This window comes from Homo sapiens, chromosome 20 (assembly GCF_000001405.40).
Source record: "Homo sapiens chromosome 20, GRCh38.p14 Primary Assembly".
In the NCBI taxonomy this organism is placed as follows: domain Eukaryota; kingdom Metazoa; phylum Chordata; class Mammalia; order Primates; family Hominidae; genus Homo; species Homo sapiens.
Genome location: NC_000020.11, coordinates 30693013 through 30716564, shown reverse-complemented (window position 1 = coordinate 30716564; position 23552 = coordinate 30693013). Strand labels below are relative to the sequence as shown.

The following is a 23552-nucleotide window of genomic DNA, read 5'->3' as shown; positions in this document are numbered from 1 at the left end:
CTTTGGGTATAATACTTCTGGTAAAGCAAATATTCTTTGGAATATAGTTTAAGAAACACTGCTTTAGTGAGAATAATTTAGATCATTAATTTATGTAAAAAACTTAAAATGTTTGCTACTATGTCTTCGGGTTTTGGAGCTATAGAGACAAAAGATACAGCCCTTGCCTCAAGAAGCTCTTGGTTTCAGTGGGAAACAGTGAAATGATTACAATGTACCATGCTAAGTGCTGTGATCAAAGCAAGGATTCTTGGGACTAGTAAACGTTTAAAGTGAGTTTTGGCAATGACCACAGTTAATCCGGGGAGACAGAGGAGGGTTGTTGCAAGGCAAAGCGCAGCACATCAGAAAGCACAGAGGAGTGAGAAGGAAGGGACTGCTTTTCATTTACTTCCTTTCTATATTGTATGTTGAAGTTCAAAGCATCCCAGAGAAGATTTTCAGTTTAGTTGAGAAATATGTAATTTTGTGAATTATTAATTTTTTTCTGCTGTTTCATAGGACAATAATACCCCACTTTTATTTGTCATAATTTGCAAGAAAGAGAAAATGGTGGAACTTTTATTGAAAACCAAAGCAAGTACACATGCTGTTGATAGGCTGAGACAGTACAGTTGTTCTTTTTTTAAAAATAAAACCTGAGTATTCTAGAGTGGTAACAGTCACTCAAGTCAGAAATATTAATAAGAAGATTAACATAATTATTGGCATATAATGAAAAATATCACCATGAATAATCAGGTAGACCAGCAAATATTTGGACTGAGTAACATAAAGAATAGTATATAGTAGGATTCATCTTCTCTTATAATATAGAGTGTTTGGTATTTATAATCAGATGCTTTTGATACTGTAATCTTTTATTAGCTAAAGCGTTTTGTATTAGCTTTATTAATTTTTTTGTTTTTGAGATAGAGTCTCGCTCTGTTACCAGGCTGGAGTGAGGTGGTGTGATCTCGGCTCACTGCATCCTCCACCTCCCAGGTTCAAGCGATTCTCCTGCCTCAGCCTCCCAAGTAGCTGGGACTACAGGTGCACGCCACCATGCCCAGCTAATTTTTGTATTTTTAGTAGAGATGGGATTTCACCATGTTGGCCAGGATGGTCTCGATTTCTTAACCTCGTGATCTGCTCTCCTTGGCTTCCCAAAGTGCTGGTATTACAGGCATGAGCCACTGCACCTGACCAGTTTTATTAATTTTTAAAGTGTGGACTTTTAGTTTATGACTACTAGTATTGTCATTATTATTATTATTATTGTCATTGTTGTTGTTGTTGTTTTCAGCCTGCAGATAACTCTTATCTGACCCCTAGCTGATTTAACTAGGAAAGCAATGGGGGAATCTTCATCTAAATCTTTGCCTACTTTAGATAAGTGACCTCAGCACAGTTTCTTGGCCATCAAAGGACTATAAGTTGACAACTTGTATTATGTCTTACCCCAGCGGGACAAGAGGCTTCCCTGTTGTCCCTTTCTTTTAGCCTTGGTGACAATTTACAAAGATGAACACTTGAGCACCCTAGATGCTTATAGACCAAAGCTAGTACATACAAATGGTTATTACGTCTACACTGACAGGCAGATATTAAATTGGTAAAGTGTATCGAACTAGCTTTTTAAAAAAGTCTTTATTAAAGTTCTTGAGTGGAGTTATTTCTTTGTTATTTTAGGTCAGCCCTCTTGCTTGCTATACACTATGACTCACCAGGTATTGTAAATATCCTTCTTAAGCAAAATATTGATGTCTTCGCTAAAGACATATGTGGACGAGATGCAGAAGATTACGCTATTTCTCATCATTTGACAAAGTAAGTGTTTATGTTAAAAATCCAGTTAATACTAAATTGAAGTTTAAAATAATTGCAACTACTCCATCTTATATACATTAGGTGAGAGTTCATAGTTTGGTTCAGATAGTTTGAAATAGCCATGAGTTAGTCTACCTTTTAGCCAGAAATCAAGCAGAAGTCTAGATTAGCTAGAAGTAGAGTGCAAGATTTTTTCTGGATTTTTGAGACCTTTATCCCTAGGGATCTCAATGTTGTTCATTTTATTCTAAGTATAATCCCCATGCATGGGATAAAAAGAGCCACATCTTTGATTTATTTTCCTTTCCTTTCCTTTTTTTCTTTTTTTTTTTTTTTTTTTTTTTTTTTTTTTTTTGTAGAGGCAAGGTCTCACTCTGTTTCCCTGGCTGGTCTTGAACTCCTGAGCTCAAGTAATCCCCCTGCTTCGGCCTCTGAAAGTGCTAGCCACCATGACTGGCCTGACTTTTCTAATTAGTTATTGAGTCTTGTAATGTCCAATTTAGCAGAAAATCTTGTATTGTCCCCGGGGCTCTCTCCTGTGCCTTCCTTCTTTGAATTTTCCAAGAAGCTAAGGGGTTTCCTAAGTCCAAGGAAGGCAATCTTTCTTTACAAGTCAGAAGAAGGGGAAAAAAGGGCATTCTAATCATTCTGTTATTTCCATGGCCTCACTTGCTGTATTATTGCCATTGTAACCGGTCCTGCAATCTGTTAATGATTGATCTTTGCCACTAGGATGCCTTCACTGATTCAGACCTCTCAGTTTTCATGGTGATTCATATATACAGTTCAAAGCTACGGTGTTTAATAGTTTATGTACTTGTGCTCAGTCATTGTTCCCAGCACCGTGCTCTGGCAGCTAGGCCTCCTAGCTTTATCCACACAAATATTGAGCAAGTTGATGCTCATCTTACACTAAAAACCTTATATGGAGCCTGCCTCTTAGCTAGACTTTGCCTAGGCCTTCATGGTATGTTATCCTTTGAGAGCCATGCTTGTCTTTCCTTTAACCAATATTAGTTGGGATTGTTCTCAATAGTCAGGGATGTTCAAATAATGTTACAGGAAGAGATCAGAGTTCCCTTTCCCTTTTGCTATCAGATCTGTACCTTGAGGCTTTTTTATATCCTGTGAAGCAGCTTTGGTTAGATAGCAGAATGTTCCATGTTATCTTTCCACTGAGTAGTGGGAACCAGCTTGCAGTTGGCCCCTCAATTAATGTGTCTCTATAATCATGAAAATCTCCTGGGCTACTTGCAGCTCTTCCTCAAGTTTTCAATATATTTTAAAATTCTACCTCCTCACAGGAAGCCATTCAATAAAATTCTCTGAATCTGAAGTAAGTGAGTTGGATTTAACAGAGCTAAGCTTCATCCATGACTCATGAGTATCCATGTATCAAACAGGGCTTTGTACTTATTTCAACAGCACATATTTTAAAATTGGATCAATACAGAGCAGATAAGCATGGCTACTGCCTAAGAATGGCACGCAAATTCAGAAAGAATTCCATATTTTGCATAGTCCCAGGAAGGCCATTTGACTATTTGTTGAGTAGCTCCAAGGAAGCAGTGTGAGCAAAACCAAAACAGGTGACACGCAATATTGAAATTGTGATTATCACTGTGAAACTATTGATGTACGGTGATCTCTGAAATGGGAACAGAGCTGAGTAATAAGGGGATGTTACATGTTGCTAGTACGTGTCTTGGAAATGAGAAAATGTCAACTTGCATTTCCTTCATGGAACTGAAAAACAATCATAGCAGGGTTTCTTCTTGTGTGTTAGTTGGAGAGGACCATGGAGATCCAGCAGCCAAGCACAGATCTGCTGGCTCAGAGTTTGAGGAGGTAGAGAAGGAGTGGTAGTTGTCCAAGCCAGGTTTTGACACCTATTAGTTTTCTGCCCTTGGTGTGATTGATGAGCTCAGTGATGAGCTCACTAAATTTATATATGTATATAAATTTAGTAATAAGTTATGAATTAGGTAAAATGCCCTGAATTACAAGCCACAATGAATGCAAGTAATAACCAAAATTAGCACTTAATAACATTTTCTGAAAACTGTAACATTTGAATATTAGAACTTATAGAAAAACACACACCGAGCATTATTTGGGATTCCAAAATGGTTTCAGCAATAAGGTTCAAGAATAAATTATTCCATTGCTTTACTATTTCTCTGAACATTTAAACATGTAATCTCATTACATCTTCTAAACAACCTAGTGAAGTAAGGTAGCAGAATCCTTATTTTTTAGAAGAAACCACGGAGCCTAAGAGAAGCAACTTGTCTGAAAACAAAATACCTACATAACGAGGTATTTTGGTTACAGAGTGAGGACTTACTGTGAGTGCAGGACACTTTGCGTGATATCCAGCTAACTAGAGTTAATTTACTGAGCTGTGCTTCCTCCATTTATGGGCACTTCGCTTTCTTTTCTTCTTTAATTATAAGCTTAATAAGCTTGTAAGGTTTAAAAATTTGAAGTGTATGGGACCTTAAAATTCTGATATTAGGTCTGATATTGTCTGAAATGGTTTTGGAATTTAATATGTTTGGTAAATATTTTTTATTTCAGTATTAAAATAGCAATTTTATTTATTACTTTTGTATACTTAGAATTCAACAACAAATTTTGGAACATAAAAATAAGATACTTAAAAAGGACAAACCAGGTAAGGCTTCTGATAGTGAATTTCTTACTTCTCTTGGTGGTCCTACTCTTGATAAGAAAATAAGAAGTAAGATGTAAGATTACGGTAGTGTCAGTCAAAAAAGACCAGTTTAACAATATGTGTAAATTGAATGTGTATATATGTATATACATATGTAAATTAATTTTTTAAATTTAACTTCTTTAGTTTGAAATTCAGATTTATTTAAGAAGGTAGTTGTAGCTAATTTATAATCTCAAATATTATTGTCTAAAAACATTCATTTATTTAATTATGATCCATAAAATCCTACATAATATTTTTGCATAAATAAGAAAAAAGATGTTTAAGTTAGTATGTTGTATGTTTCCTCTATAGTCACATTATAACAAATGGGACTTGTTATACAAATGGATCTTCTATTTCATTTTTATAATAAATTGTTTACATTTAGTAAACAAATAACTAGAGTTGACCCATGAATAATGTGGGGGTGAAGGACCCTGATCCCTGTGCTGTTGAAAATCTGAGTATAACTTTTGATTCCTTCACCTTAGCTACTAATAGCCCACCATTGACTGGAAGCCTTCCTGATAACATAAAAGGTTGATGAACAACTATTTTGTTTGTGCTGCATTATTATATACTGTGTTTGTACAATAAAATAAGCTAGAGAAATGAAGCTGTTAGAAAGGAAGTCATCAGGAAAAACATATTGACTTTTCATAAAGCATTAGTAGATCCTGGCAAAGGTCTTTATGATCTTCAGGTTGATTAGGCTGAGGAGGAAGAGGAGAGGTGGATCTTGCTGTCTCTGCATTGCAGAGGCAGAAGAAAATCTGCATATAAGTGAATCCCTGCAGTTGAAACCCTTGCTGTTCAAGGGTGAACTGTATTACATATTGATTTGTGTCACTAAGAAAGTAACTATGTTTAGAACCAGGAACTCAGCAATCCCTTTCTGGTACCATAAATAAATGGCAATAAGAACTGTAGAACTGAACCAGCGGGCACCCATACAAATAGGAGATTATTTTTTCAAGATAGCAACTGAACACAGAAGATGGAAAAGCAATTCCTTTGTGAGAAGCACAAGTTATATTACATATTCTTACACAAGCAAAATGATTTTATCTGTCATAGTTCACATACGTACACATACACACACGCACATGTGCACACACGTGTGCACACAGACACAAAGTTAAAAGTCCTGCTGATTCTTAAGGACCAAGTCCAACTGTTCACAGAAAGCGGTGGATAACACTTCCTACTGTTTGGATGCAATTCTTTTGACTTTTTGACTTGTTTTGCAATGAACTGCCTTTAATGGGTTTAAATCATGTTTTTAGTTTTATAAGAAACGAAGAAAAAGATTAGAAGCAAGTAAACGGGAACTCTATGGTCAGTAGTAGACTATAATAGTATACTCGATAGTCATAGGTTTTTCTCCAGTTATACAATTTACTTGAATGATGCACAATTAATCAATTATTATTATCATAGGAGATGGGGGTCTCTCTATGTTGCCTGGGCTAGAATACAGTGTCTATTCATTGGTGCAATCATAGCTCACTATAGCCTTGAACTCCTGGGCTCAAGCAGTCCTCCTACCTCATCCTCCTGAGTAGCTGGGACTACAGTTTTGTGTGGTTACATCTGGCCTGATACACAATTATTTATTTGTTTATTTATTTTTGATACAGGGTCTCCCTCTGTTTCCAGTATTGGCATGCAGTGGTGCCTTCTTGGCTCACTGCAACTTCTGCATCCTTGTACTTAAATGATCCTTTCACCTTAGCCTCCCAAGTAGCTGGGACTACAGGCATGCACTACCACACTTGGCTAATTTTCTTTTTAAGGGTGTTTGTTTATTTGTTTGTTTAATAGGTGAGGTGTCACTATATTGCCGAGGCTGGTCTGGAACTTCTGGGTTCAAGTGATCCTCCTGCCTCAACCTCCCAAAATGCTCGGATTTACAAGTGTGAGCCACTGCACCTGGCCTGCACAATTATTATAAAAAGGAATAAAGCCCAGTTGAGTTGCAGAAAATTGACTATTTTTTCATTTTTTTTTTCTAAAAACATTCATATTGTAGAACATATTGTCAATCACCCAGATTCTCTATTTTTTGTTCGGTTAAAAGAGGATTGCTGCTTATTTCACATTATTTTCCGACATTATTGTTTCATTTATTCCTTTTATGGTTTTATTCAATTGGATAGATATAGAAATACAAGAATCTCCAAGTCAAATATCAAGGGCAAAAAAGAAAAGAAAAACAGATTAGGGAAAGTTATTCTGTGAAATAACCATCTGATTACAGTTACATATATCATGTCAACTTAATACAAATCTTACACAATGCATTTGTGTCAAGGTTTCCCAAGACCACCCCAGGTTTGTTGGTTCATTAGAAGGACTCACAGGACTCAGCAAATAGTCATACTCAGATCTTTAATTGATAACAAGAAAAGGGACAAGCAAAATTAGTAGAGGAAAAAGTGCATGTGGTCAATTCTGGAGGAAACGAGGCACAAGCCTCCAGGAGTTCTGTCCTGTGGAGTTCCCAGGATCTGCTTAATTCTCCCAGGCTCACATTTTGACAACATATGTGCAGCGATGTCTACCAGTACTAGAGTCTCATTAGAGACTAAGTGCCCAAGTTTTTCTATGGAGGTTACTCTCCCTCTCATGTACCCAAATTCCAGACTCTTACAAGGAAAGCAGCTGTTCAGAGAAAACACACTGTTTCTATAAACACTTTAGACACAGTGAGCCACTCTTCTCAGGGAATGGTGGAAACCCTCCTAATTCCAATTTCCTAAACACCAGCCAAGGGCCAGCCTTGCATGCAGGCCTTTCTAAGGATGGAATTCTCTTGCCTGTTATATGAAATCTTTTCTGCACACTTTGTATAGCCCCAACTTAATTTTTGGTGTTGTTTTAAAATTTCATTTTAATAACATAATATTATAAGATAAGGTAACTTGGTACTAATTTCTGTTGTATGATCCATCTTAAGTTTCAGTGCTGGTTACTTTTTTTACTTTCAGTGACGAACAGCTATTTGTACATAAGTTACCATAGCAATGTTAGGTAATTATAATCTGTCCTATTTAACTCGTTTACCTTTCAGTAAAATTGTTAAATAAGCAAAATATTTTCTGAGTTAAAATTAGAATAAAAATTGTCTTTTATTTTGATTACATGAATAATCTAGTTTTCATATTGTGATAAATCCCTGCTTAGAATTATGAAATAAGATAAAAATATTCAATCATTTTTATCAATATTTTCTTACCTAAGCATGCAATTAAATTTATTTATTTTATATATTTTATGTACTTCAATTTGAGAAATAATGACCACATGTTGTTACTTTGGTCTTCAATGATCTCTAATTTTTAGGTTCACCCTGTCTTGCTTAAATATATCATAGTAACAGGTTCAGTGAATATCTTTATTTTTTATTTTATTTACTTATTTTTTTTGAGACAGAGTTTTGCTCTTGTTGACCAGGCTGCAGTGCAATGACACAATCTTGGTTCATTGCAACCTCCACCTCCCAGGTTCAAATGATTCTCCTGCCTCAGCTTCCCAGGTACCTGGAACTACAGGCATGCATCATCATGCCCAGCTATTTTTTTGTATTTAGTAGAGATGAGGTTTCACCATGTTAGTCAGACTGGTCTCGAACTCCTGACCTCAGGTGATCCACCCACCTTGGCCTCTCAAAGTGCTGGGATTACAGGCATGAGCCACTGCCCCCAGCCATCTTTTTTACTTATTTATTTTAATTGTTGTTCTGGAGATCCTGGGATGCATAGACAGTGAATATCTTTTTTGTTTTTTGAGATGGAGTCTCACTCTGTCTCCCAGACTGCAGTGCAGTGGTGTGATCTTGGTTAACTGCAACCTCTGCCTTCTAGGCTCAAGCGATTCTCCTGCCTTGGCCTCCTGAGTAGCTGAAATTACAGGTGCCAGCCACCATGCCCAGCTAATTTTTGTATTTTTATTAGAGATGAGGTTTTGCCATGTTGGCCAGGCTGGTCTTGAACTCCTGACCTCAGGTGATCCACTCACCTTTGTCTCCCAAAGTGCTGAGATTACAGGCATGAGCCACTGAGCCCAGCTGAATATTTTTTTTAAATCAATAACCTTATTTCTTAGAGCAGTTTTAGGTTCACAGCAAAATTGAGAGGAAGGTACAGAGATTTCTCATATATCCCATGCCTCCCACACACGCATAGCCTCCCCCATTATTAGTATTTTCCACCAGAGAGTGGTACATTTGTTACAACTGATGAACTTACATTGACACGTTATAATCACTCAAATTTCATAGTTTACATCAGGCTTCACTCTTGATGCTGTACATTCTGTCAATTTGGACAAATGTATAATGACATGACATGTATCTATTACTGTAATATTATCGACAGAACAGTTTCACTGCCCTAAAAATTCTCTATGCTATGCCTTTTCATCTCTCCCTTTCTCCCTAGCAACTCGTGGCAACCATTGATGTTTACTCTGTCTTCATAGTTTTACTTTTTTCAGAAGAGTCATATAGTTGGAATAAGAAGAGTGGATATCTTTTTGAATAGTTAGAAAATTAAAGCTCCATGGCAGTTGAATGTAGTCATTTAAGATGTTCTTTGTCCTTTTGTTTTTCTTTTGCTTCTTTATCATTGTAAAGAATGGTATATTATGATGAGATATGCTTTACATACTTAGAAAACATGATTAGTATATATATGTGGAACATAATAGAAAGGGTTGAGGAAAAGGACACCACGCCGTACCACACAGCACAACCTGGAGCATCTTGCTCTGTGAGGTGGGTCCAGATAGACTCTCTAGCAATGGAAGGGGACAAGTGCAAAGGGTTGTACTTTATAAAACTGGAATCACAAAGTCTTTCATACTTATCTTTGATTGGAAATAAGACCAGGCAGTGAATGCTATTAGGTAAATACATAAGTTCCTCACTGATCCTCTTCCTTTGAGGGATGAGGTTGACAACAGCGTGTATTATGATGACATGATTCACCTACAACTAGATTCTGTTGTGAGGGATGACAAGGGAGTTTTGCTTTATGTGAGGTGAAAAATATTTTTCTCCTACTAGGGAGAATGGCAAGCATTAGAACGTTCTGATAGTAAAAGGGCATTGATAGTTTTCTTTCTATATATTTTTTCACATCAGATAATACTGCCCGGCAGCCTGCCACACCTCCCCAGTGTTTCTTCAGCTTCTCTCTGAATGTGGATAAGCTCTTAAAGGAGTGATCTTTCCAGTGGTTCTTTCTGTGGGAGGTAAAATGGCAGGTGAATTTGGGCCTTGTTATACGTAGGCCAGAGCAAATAGCTACAACTAAGGAAACCACCCAGCACCTTCCCCAGAAGAGTATTAGCCAGAGTAACACACTGATATCTCTTGAGGTCTTCTCCGCTGGTGGCTAGAAAGTCTTTGCAAGGATTCCTGTTTCTGGTCTGAGTCCTATGTTTTGCTGGTTTCTGGTGATAGCGTGTCTTATTCTAAACTAAACAGTTTGAACTGAAGAACTAGAGAGGCTGTATTGTGTTATAACAAAATAAGTGCAGTAGCTCCCCCTTAACTGTGGGAGATACATTCCAAGACCCCCAGTGGATGCATGAAACCATGAATAGTACTGAATCACAAATTGTTTTTCCCTATACATACATATCTATGATAAACTTTAATTTATAAATTAAATTAAATCTGATGTTATCTGTAGATAGGGTGTGAGAATTGAATTGTGTCATCAGCAGGAATGATTACTTACTTGTTGGTGGGGAAAAACTCTCCACACATTTGGTCACAGAAGCCTTCTTTGCTGATGATTGTTGCTGTGGTGTGACAGCAGAGAAAAACTTGTCAAGTATGTCTTTCTGTGCATATAGTGGATAAGGGGTACTATTGTATACTCTGTTTTAATGGCCCCTCATATTTTGTTCCAGAAATCATGCTCTTTGACACTGTTGACTCATCATACCTGTTCTGCTAACAATACCATTTTTACTCAATCTCATAGGGTTTGACTAGGATGACTTGTATACTGCAGTTCACTTGTAGATACCAAGTTTTAATAAATGTATTCTTCTTTGCATCTAATAAATACAAAGGGAAGAGTTCTTACTGCATTAATTACCTACCAATAAGTATGATGAATGTTAATTCTAATAAGGTCCCAGGCATGCTCCCAAAGGAATGCTCTGTAACAAAGCATCAGTCTTATGCTTTAAAAAACCAAACCAAACCAAAACAAAAACAACAACAACAACAACAAAAAACAGGATCTAAAGCATACACACAAGTGTACACAATTTTTTTATGAAGGTAGAGTCTTACTATGTTTCCCAAGTTGGTCTCAAACTTCTGGGCTCCTCAAGTGATCCTCCTGCCTCATCCTCTCAAGTAGTTTTGATTAGAGGCATGCGTCACTGTGCATTCTTATGCTTTTAATATTCTGTACATTTATTGTTGATTTAAAATGCATTTTACCTTTTTCTTTAATAGATGTTGGAATTTCTGATGAATCTGCAGTCAGGTAAGATTTCATAGATTTAAAAAATTATGTTAACTAAGAAAATATAGATGGAAGAAACCAATATCTATTGAGTGTTGTATTCTTGGCTAGACATCCTAATATGTTCTATTCATTTATCATCTCATAAAGCCATCATAACATCTGTGTTCCTATAACCTACTATTAAATAAACAACTATGGATTAGAGCTGATTAATTGCCTCATGATCCCATAGTTAAAAAAGTAGCTGGCCTACAGTTTGACCATTAGCCTGCCTGCCTTCCAAATCCTTTCTCTTGCTCCTCAGCATAGATAGATATCTGTGCAGCCCTTGGATCAAGTTATAGGTCTGAATCAGATTAATCAGATTCATTAATCTGATTAATGTCTAAGTTAATGAGAGTTTAAATACCTTGAACTCTCATTTAAGTTTATTGCTAGAATGTGGTTAGTCCTAATAAATTTGACAATTTCAGTGGTAGCCAGTATCTTATTTTTACCATCAAAGGCTCTAGGGCAGATCTGACTTAGCTTTGGCCATAGGACTGTAAGTTTTACCACAGCAAGTTTAGGCAAGTCTTAGAGACAAATTATTTGACTTCCCAGTTTGGTTTTCCATTTAGGCTAGTATTTCTGCTTACTTCCATAATACATTTTTTAGTCTTGTTGCTTTTTCCATGACTTTTCTATAACCTTGTCTTCATTTTTTAAAACTTTCTTCTCTGCTTTTCTTGGTGTTTCTTTTGTTCTATTATTTTTTCAAACTCTGCTGCCTATGTATTCCAAGTTTTTCTATAGACAGAATCAAGAGGACACAGAATTACAGGATTTTAAGGAATCTTGGAATGAATTAAAATACTTTCTAGTATTTTTACCTGTGTTGAACTCTGGTCAAGTGATTCTCTAGATAGAGGATGTGAAGCTCAAAGAGATTAGGATGCTTTTTTTTAGACATAGGAATTGGCAGAAATGAGATTTGAACTCATGTTAAAGCCCAGTACTCTTGCTTCTTTTTGTATACTATTGGCATGTGTTTTAATAATACAAACGGGAGTGAGTCTGTAGATAGAATGAGAATGGAATTAGCTGGTGAACACAATGGAAGTAGATAAGAATGGAATGAGCTGGGGAAGTCCAAGTTTGAAGATAAACAGCACTGGATTGGATAGGAGTACGGACTCTTCTATAAGAGATCAAAGTATTGGGGTTTATGACAAGTTTGATAAAGATAAATTATAAAAATGAAGGACACAAGATATTGGGAATTATCTACAAAGGCACATTAAAATAGAAGGTTCAAGGGAGCTCTAAAAAGTTTGCTGCTTTTTTTTAAATCAACGACTGACAAACTTGAAGATTTTTACTGAAAGATGTTAAAACATTTTGAGACACTGGGAGGAGTGTCTACAGCAGATACAAATGAGGTGTCATCTACTTCCATCCTGACTTACAAAAGGGTGGCTTAGAGCCCCTGGAGTACTAAGGGGCTGGAAATTGCTGAACTACATAGACATGTGGCACAGGGTAGGTGTCTCCTCACTTCTTCCTGTTTTCCCAGTTCACTGATGTCCTTCCCATGTCCATGTGGGCTGGGTCAGGGGCATGATTAGCTGGCAAATCAGTCATGGAGTTCAATTGTGTAGTTGGTAGTGTGTATAGCTGGGGGCAGGTGATGGAGACTCCAGTTAGCTTGTTTTTCAAGAGCAGGGATATAGAGAGCTCCTACTCCTGGTTATTTGAGGCCATCCTTTCAGGAATCTGTGGTTTCATAGACTGAAGATTTGAAGATTGGAGACTTCCGTGGAGCCCTGTGGAAGTGGAATCTGGAAGTGGGAGCCCATAGGAAGAAAGATGCTTAGATAATACTTAGGGAAATAGAGGTACAACTATGAGGACTCGGTTTTTTTCTGGCAGTCTCTCTCCTTGGGTGTCTGAGTACCTATGAAAATTTTTAAGGGCTTGCTAGTTTATGTGGACCTGAATAAGGTAGGACCTATAGAGTGAAAATAATGGGATTTTATAATTGTTAATATTTTAATCTTTCTGGGAAAAGTATTCTCAATAAGAACATACACCTTTGTTATTTGACTTCTGTACATTTGGCTTTCATACATTTCAAATATTGTAGGGGCTTTCCTGTACCGATTTAGGGCAAAGGAAAGCAATAGGACCTTCCTAAGTTGGATCCATGCCGAGGAATCAAGACTGCCATTGTGAAGTGATGCAGATTAGTCTTTTATCCAGAGACAGATCATGGGAAAGAGACAGTGGATCTTTCTAACTTGTTTTAGGTCATCAGTTTTCTTCCAGTTTAGATAACAAAATTTATGTCATCCACTGATTGAATTTTAAGTTCAGCTTCAGAACAGATAATTTGTGAGGGCAAAGTATTGTCAGGCTCTGCCAATGTATTGACTGTCACTATTTGTTATAAAGCTCAAGGTTAGTTTTCATTGAATATTTTATAGATTTAGACAGGTGGAGACAGAAGTAGGTAAATAGAATCTATTTTTAGAACAGAGGACATATTTTAATTATATCAAGAATCATAATTTAATATATAGATCACTGACCTTTCCCCAGATTATGTTTTCCTTTTTTTGAGGGGGAAGCTGGATATAAACCGGCAGTTAAAAAAATTGTAAAGAAATCAACTTGCTCATTTTCATTGTGTATTTTTGCTCTCAAGCATTTTGCATGAACTGTGTGTGGATTTATTGCCTGCATTGGATGATGAAGACTTGAGTGTTGCTACTAAGGTAAAGTGGTCTCTTGTAAAATTAATTTTCTCACTCTGAATGTAGTTTTGCAAGTGTTTACTTTTCAAATTTAGCAGTGGTTCACCTATAATTGTTTTATGGTGGTAATGGAAAGTTGCTCAGAGAAAAACATACATATGGCTAGTTGATTCAAAAAATGTGCTTAACTTTGGTAACTAACAGAGATTGATAAGTACTGTGACAGGGTGGGAGCTGAAAAATAAATGAACTGGAAAATAAGTAGTTGCAGGAAAATCACATTAGGAAATTCTTTCTCCAGTAGAGGAAATATGAAATTTGGTTAAGGTTTATATGGATAAATACTAATACTTTGACTTTTAAATCATACAAGTGTGACTTTCTTAATATTTATGCTTGTATAAATCTTCAGTGGATCAAATTATTTGCAGTAATCATGGAATCTTCTGGTAATTTTTAGTGGCAAAAATGTTCAGCACATAGCATATAGCTTTTGTTCTTGGAAACTTATTATTTTGGTGTGATATAGTTTTTAGGAGAAATTGTTTCTCTACTTATATTATTGGTTCTGTAGTGAGACTAAAAAATATTAAAAATTGTAGAAAAACAGCTGAGTTTGGTGGTCTACCCCTGTAGCCCCTGCTACTTGGGAGTTTGAGGCAGGAAGATTGCTTGAACCCAGGAGTTTGAGAACAGCCTGGGCAATATTGTATCTGATTGAAAAATATAAATTGTGGAAATGTAGAAATTTAAATTTATGTTCTCAAGATTTGTATTGCAAAGGGATTTTTGTGTGGTTTGAGTTGTCCATGAAGAGTTTATATAAAACATGTCATCTAATTGAATAACATGTATTTTGCTGCAAATAACCAGTTCTAGAAGCAGAGACTCTTAATACCAATATGGTAAGACTTTATCATCGTAATTTTGTCATTGTAGTTTATTTAAAATATTTACTTGGCCAGGTGTGGTGGCTCACACTTGTAATCCCAGCACTTTTGGAGGCTGAGGTGGGTAGATCACCTGAGGTCAGGAGTTCAAGATCAACCTGGCCAACATGGTGAAACCCTGTCTGTAAAAAAAAATAAAAAGCACAAAAATTAACCAGACATGATGGTGTATGCTTGTAATCCCAGCTGCTCAGGAGGCCAAGGCAGGAGAATCGCTTGAACTCAGGAGGTGGAGGTTGCAGTGAGCCAAGATTGCACCATTGCACTGCAGCCTGGGTGACAGAGCAAGACTACATCTTAAAAAATAAAATAAAATAAAATAAAATAAAATAAAATAAAATAAAATAAAATAACCACTCAAAGTCCTTATATCATATTCTGAAATTTTGAATGTCAGAAAGTTTTCTATTTAGTTGTTTAAATAATCATTGGAAGCTCCTGCATACCATAAGCTACTGGAGGTCAGTAAACATATTTGTGTGTATCCTGGAGTACCTAGAATACAGTCTTCCATGTAAGAAGCATTTTATTTGTTGTTTTGGGGGATGGGGTTTCACTCTGTCACCCGGGCTGGAGGGCACTGGTGAGATATTGGCTCACTCCGATCTCCATTTCCTGGGCTCAGGTGATCCTCACACCTCAGCAATCCAAGTAGTTGAAACAATAGAGCTATGTCACCATAGACCTGTGTCTCCATGCTAGGCTGAGTTTCATAGAGACAGGGTTTTGCCTTGTTGCCCAGGCTGGTCTTTAACTGTTGGGCTCAAGTGTTCTGCTCGCCTCAGCCTCTCAAAGTGCTGGGGTTACAGGCATGAGACATTCAGCTTTAATAGTTGTTTAATCTGAATAAATAGACAAATGAATTTTTATATAATGGAATATTATAAGTAATATAATAAACCTAATGTATCTAATAATTAAATACCGTTTTTAAAATATTGCTTACATTGTATTATTTTTTAATATTAAAGGGTGTATAAGTTTTGATATGTTATGTTGAGAAATTATGCCATAATTAAAAAGAAAATAAAATAGAAATAGGTCATTGGTAGCAAAGAGGGTTACAATATATTTTCTAGTATTATTCAACTGGAATCTTAACATTGAGATTTTAGATTAACATTTCTTAAGTTTTTTATTAGACCCAACTCATGTTCTATTAAATATACCTTTTCAAGCCATACATTACTCTTTATTATTATTATTATACTTTAAGTTCTAGGGTACATGTGCACAAGGTGAAGGTTTCTTACATACGTATACATGTGCCATGTTGGTGTACTGCACCCATTAACTGGTCATTTATATTAGGTATGTCTCCTAATGCTATCCCTCCCCTCCTGCCCACCCCATGAGAGGCCCTGGTGTGTGATGTTTGCCATCTTGTGTCCAAGTGTTCTCATTGTTCAGTTCCCACCTATGAGTGAGAACATGTGGTGTTTGGTTTTCTGTCCTTGCAACAGTTTGCTCAGAATGATGGTTTCCAGCTTCATCCATGTCCCTACAAAGGACATGAACTCATCATTTTTTATGCTGCATAGTATTCCATGGTGTGTAAGTGCCATATTTTCTTAATCCAGTCTATCATTGATGTACATTTGGGTTGGTTCCAAGTCTTTACTATTGTGAATAGTGCCGCAATAAACATACGTGTGCATGTGTCTTTATAGCAGCATGATTTATAATCCTTTGGGTATATACCCAGTAATGGGATGGCTGGATCAAATGGTATTTCTAATTCTTGATCCTTGAGGAATCTCCACACTGTCTTCCACAATGGTTGAACTAGTTTACCGTCCCACCAACAGTGTAAAAGTGTTCCTATTTCTCCACATCCTCTCCAGCACCTGTTGTTTCCTGACTTTTCAATGATTGCTGTTCTAACCGGTGTGAAATGATATCTCATTGTGGTTTCGATTTGCATTTCTCTGATGGCCAGTGATGATGAGTATTTTTTCATGTGTCTGCCATACATTACTCTTTAGAATTCTGGTGACCAATTCTTTTTCTGGGTGGAAAGTTGATGGAAAGTTCCAGTTTTCTCTTTCTGTTATAATAATATTCTTTCAGGTAGTGGTAGATGACCATATTTAGCTAATTGAATGTCTTATAGTAAGAAACGCTATCACAGAAGTACTTACAAAAAACTAATTACAGCATAAATATTAATTAGTATTATCAGGGGTATGAAAGACCGAAGGCTCTGTTATAGATCTATTTCCCCATGTGCTTTATTGTACTTCATGTTGTTTGTTTTCTTTCTTGGCTTAAGCTGATATTTCATTGACCAATTAGGCTTGTTTTTTGTTTGTATCTCTCTTCATTCTCACATTTTAAATTGAAATTTTTGGGGAGTCAGGGTCTTGCTCTGTTGTCCATGTGCAGTGTAGGGGCATGATCTTGGCTCACTGCAGTATCCACCTCTCAGGCTCAAGTGATCCTCCCACATCAGCTTCCCAAGCAGCTGGGACTACAGGCACACACCATCATGCCTGACTCCTTTTGGTATTTTTGTGTAGAGATGTGTTCTCATTATGCTGCCCAGGCTGGTCTCAAACTCCTGAACTCAAGCAATCCACCCACCTTGGCCTTGCAAAGGGCTGAGATTACAGGTGTGAGCCACCATGCCTGGGCAACATTGAGATTGATTTAAAGAAATTGATTAGGGCTGGGTGTGGTGGTGCACACTGCTTATCTCAACACTTTGGGAGGCAGAAGTGGAAGATTGACTTGAGCCCAGGAGCTTGAGACCAGCCTGAGCAGTATAATGAGGCCTTGTCTCTACAAAGATAACAATAAAAACATTAGCATGGCATGATGGTATGCACCTGTAGTTCCAGCTATTCAGGAAGTTGAGGTGGGAAGATTGCTTGAGGTCAGGAGTTTGAGACCACGGTGAGCCATAATCAGGCCCCTGCATTCTAGCCCTGGGTTGACAGAGTGAGACTCAGTTTCATAAAAAGAGATTGATAAGAAACTCTTGATGCAACTCATTATAATTTTAAATGGAAACTAATTCTTGATATTACCTTAGCAGTGTGTCCCCGAGAAAGTGTCAGAGCCTTTACGTGGACCTTCTCATGAAAAAGGAAACAGAATAGTCAATGGAAAAGGAGAAGGTGAGAACCGTATTTTATTTAAAAAGTCATTTGATGGAGGCCAGGCGTGGTGGCTCACGCCTGTACTCCCAGCACTTTGGGAGGCCGAGGTGGGCCAGTAATGAGGTCAGGAGATCGAGACCATCCTGGTTAGCATGGTGAAACCCCATCTCTACTATAAACACAAAAAATTAGCCGGGCATGGTGGCGGGTGCCTGTAGTCCCAGCTCCTCGGGAGGCTGAGGCAGCAGGATGGTGTGAAACTGGGAGGTGGAGCTTGCAGTGAGTGGAGATCGTGCCACTGCACTCCAGCCTGGGTGACAGAGTGAGACTCCATCTCAAAAAAAAAAAAAAGTCATTGATGGAATGTTTCTTTTAAAATATGAGCACTGATAGAGTTTAATAGCTAAAGAAAATGTCCGACTAACCGTATAATAAGTAAAGGAGAAGTGAAATGGTGATAAGTGGTGTCTCTAACCAAGGGTCAGCAGTTGATTCTATTTGAAGTACCACTAAAGGAGCTGAGTTATGAGTTCCATTTTAAGATACTCTAAGACCTGAGGCAAGTCAGGAGAGAGGGAAGAGGAAATGAATAAAAGAGAAACAAAGAATGAGGAGGGCAGAGTGTACATGGGATAAATAAAAAAAGTGGATGTCTGTAATGGAGGGTAGTAAAGTCAAAATGATCTGTAGAAGAAGGAAGAACAGGGTGTTAGAAATAGGAAGGAAGATAAAGTGAGCTTCCAGTACCAAAATATGTCATATAATTACAGTAACATTTTCCTTCTCTTGCTGTCATCCTCGCTAGTGGGGAGGCATTAAGGATTGAGGTACTTTACCACGCAGACCTGTGTTTTATCTACCATAGATGAACATCACCGTAAATGGTCAGCCATGTATGGCTATAATTTGTTTTTATAGAAAATGTTGTAACTTCATAGGATAGTATCATATTAACATAATTGAAAAGAATAGTGTTGGGTGATTTATTGGGAAGAAATTAATTAGAGAAGCTTTGCCTGATTAAAAGTTCATTAGAAACATTATGGCTTATAATGTAGTATTAAATTCAGGGACATAATAGGAAAGAAATTGAGGCTAGACCAAAAAGGCCAATTAGGGTAAACCAATATGGAAGCACACCAGTGTAGAACAGGGCATTCAAATTGTCATGAATTAGTTGAGGAGCTTCTGGAAAGTGCACAGTCTGACTCAGCAGGTATGGGAGTCTGCATTTCTCATGAGCACTCAGGTGATGTTTGTGCTGGTCCTTGGACACAGCTCTGAATAGCAAGGGAATAGCCTTCCTTTAGAGAAATCTGGAAAAAGAACCACTGGAGAGCAATTTAAAAAATAACAGAATCCAGGGAAAGCTTTAATTTCCTTTTATTTCTGAGCATGATTCTATCCACAGGGGAAGGAAAATGAGATGAAAAAAGAGAGATTACAGGTGTATACTACTGCTGAATACAGATGAAAAAAGTGGTCACAATCATCCATAAAAAGCAGTTAGGAAGGGAAGCATCAGGATGACAGTTCTGATAATCATTTTTTCAAAGGAAGAGGGATTGTGAAAGGACACAAAAGGAGGAAAGAAAGATATTTGCTGGGGTCTTGGGAGTTAAAGCCAAGTAAACTTGAGACAGCTCACTTCCATTTGCTTCAGCATATGTCCAGTCTCACAAAAGAGGTTATTGCTGTGGAGAGTACTGGAGGCAGGAGAGAGTGCTAGAGTTGGGGTAAACCACAGCAGCTCAATTTACTTGACAACTGTCAGGCCTCAGGGAGAGAAGTTTCACTGACATGAGTGAATAAGATGTGATTAAGTTGCATATAGATGCTTTGGCAAATTTTTTTTGAGACAGCCAGTTCTTTGATATGATAGCTGTTTTATAAAAGTCCTTTACAGTGTAAGATAATATACCAAACTTAGTTAATTTTAGAAATAATCATAAAATTCATTCTGTGAAAACCAAAATTCTCATTTTCAATAAATACTGCACTGATTTTGAAATATAAATATGTATTCATATCCAGCAAGTCTGTGGTCATTCAGTGTTTTCTTTTTTGATAAATATTTTGATATCAGAAGCTTATTCGACATGGTTTATTTGATGTGTTTTATGGACCACCTTGCATAAGTGGATCAAGGAGCTCTAACTCAAGGCCAAATGAGGGGATAGGAGAAATGTAGGTGCTGCAGTAGCCCATGTTATCATGGGAAAAATGAGTAGTTTGATTAGCTGTTATTTCATAAGTGTGTATCCTAGCTGATCAATGTAGAACCCTTTCTTTGATGAGAGGTGAATCACACATTCACCTGAACTGTCATCCCAACTGTGTATTTCCTCAGTGACAAGACAAGGGGAATTTATTTGTGCTGTGCTGGCAGCAATGCCTCTGGTGTGTGGAGTTAAAATACTCTGTACATTCACCATCAGCTTTGACATTGATTCCCTCAGGTTTGATTTGCCCCTCTGTTTAATGGTCCCTTTTCTCCTCATCAGTCCACGTGTTCACGGTTATATCAATGCTTTTCTATTTTAAGTATAGGCATTTGAAACATAATCTCACTACTGAAATGTAAACTGTGCATTTTAGGAATCCTATATTCCTATTTTCCTCATTGTGTTTCTGTCATGTTGCTGTCCTAGGCAATGAAAACAAGAAGCCAAGAAGAACCCTCAAAACCTTAAGTAATTATTTTTATAGCCATGCCTGAGAATTCAACTCAATAGTAACACTGCATGAATGTTTGGTTGGCCCTGTCATACTTACATATAATTGATGACATATCCCCTTTGCTTTGTAGGGCCTCCTGCAAAACATCCTTCCTTGAAAGTAATTAATTATGTATATTTTTGAATCACTAACTCCATGTTGTATAAAATATATATGATTTATGAATCATTTTCTTTTAAAACCCATTCAGCCTAGCACTGAAGTGGAAGATCATGCTGTGAAAGGAGCAGTACAAAAAAGGATGTACAGACATTGAGAGCAGGTACATTTAATGGGATACTGGAAATAAGTACATTCAATGATTGGAAGTACTCACATTATTCTTATTCCTAATTCTATTTGTTCAATATTGAACAGAAGGCATTGACATAAATGTTATTGTTGGTATCCGTATTTGAATAAAAACAAATTTAGAAGCATAAAAAAGATTTTAAAAATGTAAGCTTTAAGTCAGATGTTTCTGTTTTAATGTTTTGAATAGCATGAAGTTTTCAGTATAAAATTTTTATACTTGTCAGGGATTCAAAGCAGTGAATTTTGAGACTCTTAAGATATTTCCAGTGAGTTAAGTGCTAGTTGGAGTTCTGATCTTTACCTAGACGAAAGTTTTACTTTTTAAAGTGTCAGTTTCTGTTTTAACTTTAGAGGCTTGTTGCTAGTGTTATTACACTGATGATCTGAAGCCTATCAGATGTTCTAACGAGCAAGACTGTGTGTGTAGGTGTATATATAGGTGTGTGTATGCGTGCATTTGTGGCATCTTTGACTATTACAAATGACGAAAGTAATGATTCATTTATAACTGGTAGACACAGTCTTTTAAAATGGTAATTTTGAGACTTTTTGGTGTTAAAGTTTTTAAAACATGATTGCATAGAGGCTACCAACATCATAAGTTGGTTGTTTTTCATTTCAATGCCTTTTTGAAATCTTTAACTACATTGTGATGCTCAGAAATAATATGCAGAATTTTTTGTGTCCTAAAATGGTACGTGAGTGGTTATACGCTTTATATACCTTTCTGCCACTTTCTTTGGTGTGTTTTGTATTATATTTTACACTTGTACCCACACTGGTGTGATTATCTCTGGTTTAATTCATTTTACACTGTTCATTGTATTCCCTCATACCAGTTTACCACATTTAGTTAGACTCTCCTGTTGCTGATAAATGAAGAAATAAAAATAAAAATAATGTCAGATTAAGAGGGCTTTTCTTTAATCAGTTTGTATCTATTAGCATTTACTATATGAGAGTTTAAACCTGAAAAGTTCAGAATACAAGCATGCACCACTATATTTTATTAATGCCCTTAGAACTATGACTCATGAGCCTTTAGCCTATGAAGTTAGGACAATTCATTTCTCTGAAAAAGAATGCTGGGCTGTTCTCAGAAAAGAAAACTGAAAATAGCAAATGATATTGTCTTATTTTACCTCTTGGACATCCTTGAATGAAACAGCTACTAAAGGGATACTCGGATCAAAATTCAGAACTAATGTTTTGAACACTATAGTTTGTGAATGTCCAGTGATCATGAGCCCTTGACGGGGAAATGACCTTTCGAGTTTAACTTTTGCATTTTTTGCTCTTTTCCTTGACTTGTCTTGAAAGCTTAAATTCAACTGTTTTATTTTTACAGAAACCAGGAATATAACTTTTAAAATATATGTCTGTCCTGTCTCACGGTGTTGTGTGCTCTTCAGATCTTGTGTGAACATAGACTTATATGGGAACAATTAGGTTTTTTGTTTGTTTGTTTGTGTTTTTGAGACAGAGTCTTGCTCTGTCACGAAGGCTGAAGTGCAGTGGCTCAGTCTTGGCTCATTACCACCTCTGCCTCTCGGGTTCAAGCAATTCTCCTGCCTCAGCCCCTCGAGTAGCTGATACTATATGCACGTGCTACCATACCCTGCTAATTTTTCTATTTTTAGTAGAGATGGGGTTTCACCATGTTGGCCAGGCTTCTCTCGAACTCCTGACCTCAGGTGATCTGCCCACCTCGGCTTGCCAATGTGCTGGGATTACAGGTGGGAGCCACTGTGCCATCTACAAATAAGATTTTTAAGGCTATTATATTTTATACAATTCTTTGGTCTATGTGAATTCTGAAGGTATTCATGCATTGAGGGAAGATTATCTCAGTTTAATGAAAGCAGTTTTTAATTTAACGTATATTCATTAAAATATTTTTTGAAGTTTTTGTCTCTAGTACACAGAAACACACAATAATATCATGGGTATTTGACCTTAATGTGTTTATGCACAAACTTAGTTATTCAAATATTTTCTTATCCCTGAAGAATCTTAATTACTAATAAACAAATTTCTCATGGAAAACAACATATATAACAGAGATGGTTGAGTGATTGAAAGTAAACTGTAGTAAATACGAGAAGCTTAGAACAAGTTAAGTAAACTTGTCTGAGTTAATAGCAATTACAGGACTTTTAAAATACATTAGACCATGGGGGAGTAGTGCATTTGTGGGGTACAGGACAACATGGTACTGCTTCAGTGAAGAAAGAACTTTTACACCTTATTACAATTTGTATTATTATTTACATTCTAATAAATAAAAACTTTATTTTCAGATATTTTACATCATGTTTCTACTAGTTGAATCATCAATAGTAAGACTTTTCAAAGATTTGGGAAGTTGTGAGTTGATGATAAATATCTGTATCACCATCAGTGATCAAAAATCAGACAGCAACTACCACAGATTTTGGACACGTGAACTTCATAGTTAAAGAAAGGATTAATCTTGGAGCTGTGTTTCTATCAGGGAATTACACTCTTCATTACCTGTGTGAATCGCAGTTATTAGAGTAGAAAGAGAGCAAAGAAGGGAAAGAAGCATAGAAAATTTTATTCTAGATTACCTCGTTTGGCTTCATGCTACCATAGTTCTGACATTTAATAGTCATTTTTTGGTCAAATGTACTTTGTGTTTACTCCCTTTATGCAGCCTACAACCAAACAGAATGGTTCTTAGCAAG

At 36.7% G+C, this 23552-nt stretch overlaps 1 non-coding gene and 1 pseudogene across 2 annotated transcripts in view; both read left to right on the top strand.

The window, feature by feature from the left end:
- ANKRD20A21P (ankyrin repeat domain 20 family member A21, pseudogene) overlaps positions 1–23552 on the top strand; it is a 42705-nt pseudogene that overhangs the window by 7352 nt on the left and 11801 nt on the right. Inside the window, exons 3-9 of the transcript XR_002958558.2 lie at positions 1672–1809; positions 4431–4486; positions 11013–11043; positions 13712–13781; positions 17748–17829; positions 20621–20649; positions 20741–20812. The product of XR_002958558.2 is annotated as an ankyrin repeat domain 20 family member A21, pseudogene (transcript). The remainder of the gene's footprint in view (positions 1–1671; positions 1810–4430; positions 4487–11012; positions 11044–13711; positions 13782–17747; positions 17830–20620; positions 20650–20740; positions 20813–23552) is intronic.
- LOC124904986 (U6 spliceosomal RNA) lies at positions 3219–3325 on the top strand. The gene has a single exon (XR_007067773.1). It is a non-coding gene; the product is annotated as a U6 spliceosomal RNA (small nuclear RNA).